At 49.5% G+C, this 6,997-nt stretch overlaps 1 annotated feature.

Annotated features, from left to right (window-relative positions):
* Positions 5,278 to 5,777: an enhancer, noted in NCBI's record as "H3K4me1 hESC enhancer chr16:28347523-28348022 (GRCh37/hg19 assembly coordinates)". NCBI's record gives its function as "activates a minimal SCP1, AML or CMV promoter by ChIP-STARR-seq in primed H9 embryonic stem cells {active_cell/tissue: H9 hESC(primed)}" and the evidence as "EXISTENCE:reporter gene assay evidence [ECO:0000049][PMID:30033119]".

Genomic DNA, 6,997 nt, shown 5'->3' with positions numbered 1-6,997 from the left:
TCATGCCTGTAATCCCAGCACTTTGGGAGGCCGAGGCGGGCAGAGCACTTGAGGTGGGGAGTTTGAGACCAGCCCGGCCAACTTGGTGAAACCCCACCTCTACTGAAAAAAATACAAAAATTAGCTGGGCGTGATGGTGCATGCCTGTAGTCCCAGCCACTTGGGAGGCTGAGGCATGAGAATCGCTTGAACCCAGGAGGCAGAGGTTGTAGTGAGCCAAGATCACATCAGCACACTCTAGCCTGGGTGACAGAGCGAGACTCTGACTCAAAAAATAAATAAAATAAATATCACTTACATTAGATATACCCAAGGGGTGTTCTATAGAGAGTTGGAAGCAGTGGTTATTGCAACAGGGGCACAGAAGTCATCTGGCTATGCCAGGGTGCCCAGGGGATACTCGGGGTGGGTGGCATGGTGCTGCTGGGGACTCACCGCACAGGACGCTCTGATTGACGCACTGCCAGGAGTAGCGCTCTGTCTTGGGGCTGCAGCCGGCCTCCTCAGCTCGAGTGTAACAACAGTCGTGGCCATGGCAGCACCTGCGGATGTCACATGGGCAGGACAGCAGGTGGGTGAAGCTCTCTCCTGGCCCTCCTCTCTTGCCAGGACCATGGGTGACTGAAGACCCCCAGGGAGGCACAGCATCCTCTTATCTAAGTTTTTTTTTTTTTTTTTTTTTTTTTTTTTTTTTTTTAAGAGACAGGGTCTTTCTCTGTCGCCCAGGCTGGACTGCAGAGGCACAATCATAGCTCACGGCAGCCTTGAACTCCTGGGCTCAAGCGATCCTCCTACTTCAGTGTCCCAAGTAGCTGAGACTACAGGCACACGCCAGCATGCCCGGCTGGTTTTTTAATTTGTATTTCCTTTGAGACAGCGTATCTCTCTGTTGCTCAGGCTGGGGTGCAATGGCTCCATCAGCTCACTTTAGCCTTGAACTCCCGGGCTCAAGTGATACTGCCACCTCAACTTCCCAAGTATGCTACTACAGGAACACAAACTCCTTTTTTAAATTTTTTGTGGATATGGGGTCTATGTTGCCTAGGCTGGTCTCGAACTCCCAGGCTCAAGCAGTCCTCCTACCTCAGCCTCTCCAAATGCTGGGATTACAGGTGGGAGCTACTGTATGCCTGGCCTTATCTAAGCTGTTTCCCTGAAAATCCCCGACTTCGATAATGATTCCATTGGCCCCACCATGCCCTGTCCTGCCTTCCTGGCTGTGCCCAAGCTTGGTCCCTGCCTGCCTGCCTCACTCTCTGGGTCTCGAGCTCCTGTGACACATGACTCCTCTCTCTTCCTGGAGTGATCCAAGCCCTGCCACTTCCTGACTTTGCCCACACTGTACCCTCTGCCTGGGGCAACTTCATGTCTGCCCATTGTCCCTTAGGCCTCAGCCCAGGCACAAGCCCCTGCCTCCGGAGGTCATCCAGGCCTCACCAGGCTACACCCTCTCGTAAAATTGGATTCCCTCCCTTCAGGGCAGGTTTATAATGAAATCCTCCTCAGAGGCCAGGTGCGGTGACACGCATCTGTAATCCCAGCACTTTGGGAGGCTGAGGTGGGAGGATCACTTGAGGCCAGGGGGTCGAGACCAGCCTGGGCAACATAAGAGAGACTCTTGTCTCTATAACAAATTTAAAAATTAGCTCACCAGGCCAGGCTCAGTGGCTCATGCCTGTAATCCCAACACTTTGAGAGGCCGAGGCAGGTGGATCACGAGGTCAGGAGTTCGAGAGCAGTCTGACCAACATGGCGAAACCCTGTCTCTACTAAAAATACAAAATTAGCCAGGCATGGTGGCACGCACCTGTAATCCCAGTTACTCGGGAGGCTGAGGTAGGAGAATTGCTTGAACCCAGGAGGTGGAGGTTGCGGTGAGCCAAGATCACGCCATTGCAGTCCAGCCTGAGCAACAGAGCAAGACTCTGTCTCGAGAGAATAAAAACACACAAAAAATTAACTCGCCAGGATGGCACATGCCTATAGTCCTAGCTACTTGGGAGGCTGAGGTGGGAGGATTCCCTCCAGCCCAGGAGTTTGAGGCTGCAGTGAGCCACTATGATTGTGCCACTGCACTCTAACCTGGGCAAAAGCGAGACCCCAGGCTAGAGTGCATGATTTTGGGTCACTGCAACCTCCACCTCCCAGGTTCAAGTGATTCTCCTGCCTCAGCCTCTTGAGTAGCTGGGACTACAGGCATGTGCCACCACGCCTGGGTAATTTTTGTATTTTTAGTAGAGACAGGGTTTAGTAGAGACCATGGTGAAACCCCGTCTCTATAAAACAAATCTCTACTAACCCCATCTCTACAAAAAACAGCTGGGCGTGGTAGTGCACACCTGTAATTCCAGCTACTTGGGAGGCTGAGGCACGAGAATCATTTGCATCTTGGAGGCAGAGTTTGCAGTGAGCTGAGATCGCACCACTGCACTCCAGCCGGGATGACAGAGCAAGACCCTGTCTCAAAAAAAAAAAAGAAAAAGGAACAAACAACAGCAACAACAACAAAAAAACCTCTGTGTCAATCACAGCCTTCGAGCTAGGGGAGAGGCGGCCGAATTCTGCCCTCCGCTAACGAGCTATAGCTTTGTGGAAATGGGCGAGTGGCATGCCCCTGTGAGCCTCAGGGCCCCATCTGTAAAATGGGCATAACTGTCATGCCCGTCTTTAAGAACAGCCTTGGGGGGTAAATGAGTGGAACTCATGGAAAGATCTCAGCCCACAACCTTCCACAGAACAGGCGCTTCTCACACAGTAAGTAGCAGGAGTGCAGAGGCTGCAGGCATGAATCCAGCCAGACTGCCTGGGTTCAAGTCCCAGCTCCCACGTCTTGGTAACTAAGTGGCCTCAGACAAGTTACTTAATATTTCTTCTTCTTCTTCTTTTTTTTTTTTTTTTTCAGAAGGAGTTTTGCTCTGTCACCCAGGCTGGAGTGCAGTGGTGTGATCTCGGCTCACTGCAACCTCCGCCTCCTGGGTTCAAGCAATTCTCCTGCCTCAGCTTCCTGAGTAGCTGGAATTACAGGCACCTGCCACCACATCCAGCTAATTTTTGTATTTTTAGTAGAGACAGGGTTTCACCATGTTGGCCAGGATGGTCTCGAACTCCTGACCTCGTGATCTGCCTGCCTCAGCCTCCCAAAGTACTGGGATTATAGGCGTGAGCCACCGCACCTGGACACGTTACTTAATATTTCTGTGCCTTGGTTTCTTCATCTGTGAAATGGGATTGTTGTGAGAATGCAAAGGGATTCCCAGGGCAGTTCCTAGTGCATAGTCTGGCTGCCTTTGTGTGTGTGTGTGTGTGTGTGTGCATGTGTGTGTGTGTTTAATACAGAGACAGGGTCTCACTATGTTGCCTAGGCTGGTTTCAAACTCCTGGGCTCCAGTGATCCTCCTGCTTCCACCCAAAGTGGTGGGATAACAGGTGTGTCACCACACCTGGTCACTTTATATTATTTTTTTCTTTTGAGACAGGGTCTCGCACTGTTGCCCAGGTTGGAATGCAGTGGTGCAATCTCAACTCACTGCAAACTCCGCCTCCCGGGTTCAAGTGATTCTCCTGCATCAGCCTCTTGAGTAGCTGGCACTATAGTCACCCGGCTCCTTGCCTGGCTAAGTTTTGTATTTTTAGTAGAGATGCGGTTTAGTGATTCTCCTGCATCAGCCTCTTGAGTAGCTGGTACTATAATCACCTAGCTCCTTGCCCAGCTAATTTTTGTATTGTTAGTAGAGATGCGGTTTCCTTTTTTTTTTTTTTTTTTTTTTGAGATGGAGTTTCGCTCTTGTTGCCTAGGCTGGAGTGCAGTGGTGCGATCTCGGTTCACCACAGCCTCCGCCTCCTGGGTTCAAGCGATTCTCCTCCTCAGCCTCCCGAGTAGCTGGGATTACAGGCATGTGCCACCGCACCTGGCTAATTTTGTATTTTTAGTAGAGACGGGGTTTCCCCATGTTGGTCAGGCTAGTCTCGAACTCCTGACGTCAGGTGATCTGTCTTCCTCGGCCTCCCAAAGTGCTGGGATTACAGGCATGAGCCAGCATGCCAGGCTGGCCCTTTTTTTTTGTTTTTTTTTTTAATCACTTAACATATATCTTGGAGAACTTTCCATTTTGGGAGTTAAAGAGATTTGTTTGTTTGTTTGTTTTGAGACAGGGTCTCCCTCTGTGGCCCATGCTGGAGCTGGACCTTGGCTCAGTCCAACTTCCACCCCCTGGGCTCAAGCAATCCTCCCACTTCAGCCTTCCAAGTAGCTGGGTCTATGGGCACATGCCACCACATCCCACTACTTTTTATAGTTTTTGTAGAGATAGGATTTTACCATGTTGCCCAGGCTGGTCTTGAACTCCTGAGCTCAAGTGATCCACCTGCTTCAGCCTCCCAAAGTACTGGGATTACAGGCATGAGCCGTCTTGCCCAGCCTGTTGTTTATTTAATATCTACCAAGTGCCAACTACCATAGAGGACATAAAGATGATTCAGTCTCTTCAGAAGTCATTTTCTTTCTCTCTCTTTCCTGTTGTACAGCACAAAATTAATGGACTAAATAGTCTGTCACTAGATAAACAAGCCCTAAGTAATCAGGCACTTGCTGCAGTTTTTACAAAGTTTAAAAAGCCATATGAAACACAGTATACTCCAAGTAATAAGAGGCAAAATATGCGAAGTGTTACTGCTGGGGAATTTACGGACTATTCTTTTCTACAGTATATCTGCTGTGGTCTGAATGTGTTCCCCAAGATTCATATGTTAAAACTTAACCACCAGTCTGGTAGTATTAAGAGGTGGGGCATCATTAAGTCATGAGGGCATGGGATTAGTAACCTCATAAAAAGGTTGGCGGGAATGAGCTAGGCCCTTTCATTGCCCTTACATCCCTCTGTCACTTGAAGACACAGCACTGGTCCCCCCGGGAGGACATAGCAGCAAGGTGCCATATTGGAAATGGCCACCATGCCCTCACCAGATACCAACCTGCTGGTAACTTAATCTTGGCCTTCCTAGCCTCCAGAACTGTGAGAAAGAAATTTCTGGGTTTTGTTTGTTTGTTTGTATGAGACAGGGTCTCTGTCACCTAGGCTGGAGTGCAGTGGCACGATCTCGGCTCACTGCAACCTCTGCCTCCTGGGTTCAAGTGATTCTCCCACCTCAGCCTCCCGAGTAGCTGGGATTACAGGTATGCACCACCACACCCTGCTTTTTTTTTTTTTCTTGGCATTGTACAGATAGGGTTTCGTCATGTTGCCCAGGCTGATCTCGAACTCCTAAGGTCACACGATCCACCTGCCCTGGCCTCCCAGCATGCTGGGATTAAAGGCGTGAGCCACTGTGCCTGGCCAAAATTTCCGTTTTTTATAAATAACCCAGTCTCTGGTACTTTCTTATAGCCACACGAACAGATAGACTGTACTCATCTGTTGGCTGGGCGCAGTGGCTCACGTCTGTAATCCCAGCACTTTGGGAGGCTTAGACAGGCGGATCACGAGGTCAGGAGATCGAGACCATCCTGGCTAACATGGTGAAACCCCGTCTCTACTAAAAATACAAAAAATTTAGGTGGGCGCGGTGGCGGGCGCCTGTAGTCCCAGCTACTCAAGAGGCTGAGGCATGAGAATGGCATGAACCCGGGAGGCGGAGCTTGCAGTGAGCCGAGATCATGCCACTGCAGTCCGTCCTGGGCGAAAGAGCGAGACTCCGTCTCAAAAAACAAACAAACAAACAAACAAACAAACAAGAGGTCCAGAGTGTGACAACATGGCCTTGCAACCTTGTGCTCAGGGACCCTGGAGCCAGTCCTTCATAGGTCTGCTGGAACTCGCCACCCTGGGACTGCAGGCTCTGCCTGGCTGCAATCAAGAATCCCCTGGGGCCAGGTGTGGTGGCTCACGCCTGTGATCCCAGCACTTTGGGAGGCTTAGGTGGGCAGATCACCTGAGACCAGGAGTTCGAGACTAGCCTAGCCAACGTGCTAAAACTCCGTCTCTACTAGAAATACAGAATTAGCCAGGCGTGGTGGCGGGTGCCTGTAATCCCAGCTACTCAGGAGGCTGAGGCAGGAGAACTGCTTGAACCCAGAAGTGGAGGTTGCAGTGAGCTGAGATTGCGTCACTGCACTCCAGCCTGGGTGACAGAGCAGAATCCGTCTCAAAATAAATAAATAAATAATCCCCTGGGGATCTTGGATTTGATCTTGGTGCCAAGGGAATTGGATTTCCTTGGTCTGGGTAGTGCCTTGGCATCTGTATTACGATTATCATTTGCCAATGATTATGAATTTTTAAATTTCACACAGCTTTGGGGAAGCATAGAATCTGGACTTGTTCAGAACAATCAGCTATTGACACCAGAGGCTGCCTCTGGGTTATAATTGGATAATTATCCCTTCCTGGTGCAGACATTAGTGGCTCTCTTGTGCTTGGCCATGAACCATTTGCTGTGTCCTCCATGTGGCCAAGCATCAAAAGGATAATGTTTTCATTTTTTAATTTTTGTGGGTAGATAGTAGGCATATATATGTATGGGGTGCATGAGGTGTTTTAATACAGGCATGCAATGCATAATAATCACATCAGGGTAAATGGGGATCCATTACATCAAGCATTTATCCTTTGTGTTACAAACAATTCAATTACACTCTTTGAGTTATTTAAAAATGTACAATTGGCTGGGCACAGTGGCTCTCACCTGTCATCCCAGCACTTTGGGAAGCTGAGGCGAGCGAATCACTTGAGGTCAGGAGTTTGAGACCAGTCTGGCCAACATGGTGAAACCCCGTCTCTACTAAAAATACAAAAATTAGCTGGGCGTGGTGGCACTTATCTGTAATCTCAGCTACTTGGGAGGCTGGGGCAGGAGAATCACTTGAGCCCAGGAGTTCGAGACTAGCCTGGGCAACTTAGCAAGACCCCATCTCAAAAACAAAGCTACAGCTTAAAAGAAAATCAGACCATGTCACTCTCTGCTTAAGGCCTTCAAGGGTTTCCTCATGCATTCAGGATAG

The sequence above is a fragment of the Homo sapiens genome, chromosome 16 (genome assembly GCF_000001405.40).
Source record: "Homo sapiens chromosome 16, GRCh38.p14 Primary Assembly".
In the NCBI taxonomy this organism is placed as follows: domain Eukaryota; kingdom Metazoa; phylum Chordata; class Mammalia; order Primates; family Hominidae; genus Homo; species Homo sapiens.
This window is presented reverse-complemented; position numbering and strand designations above follow the sequence as displayed.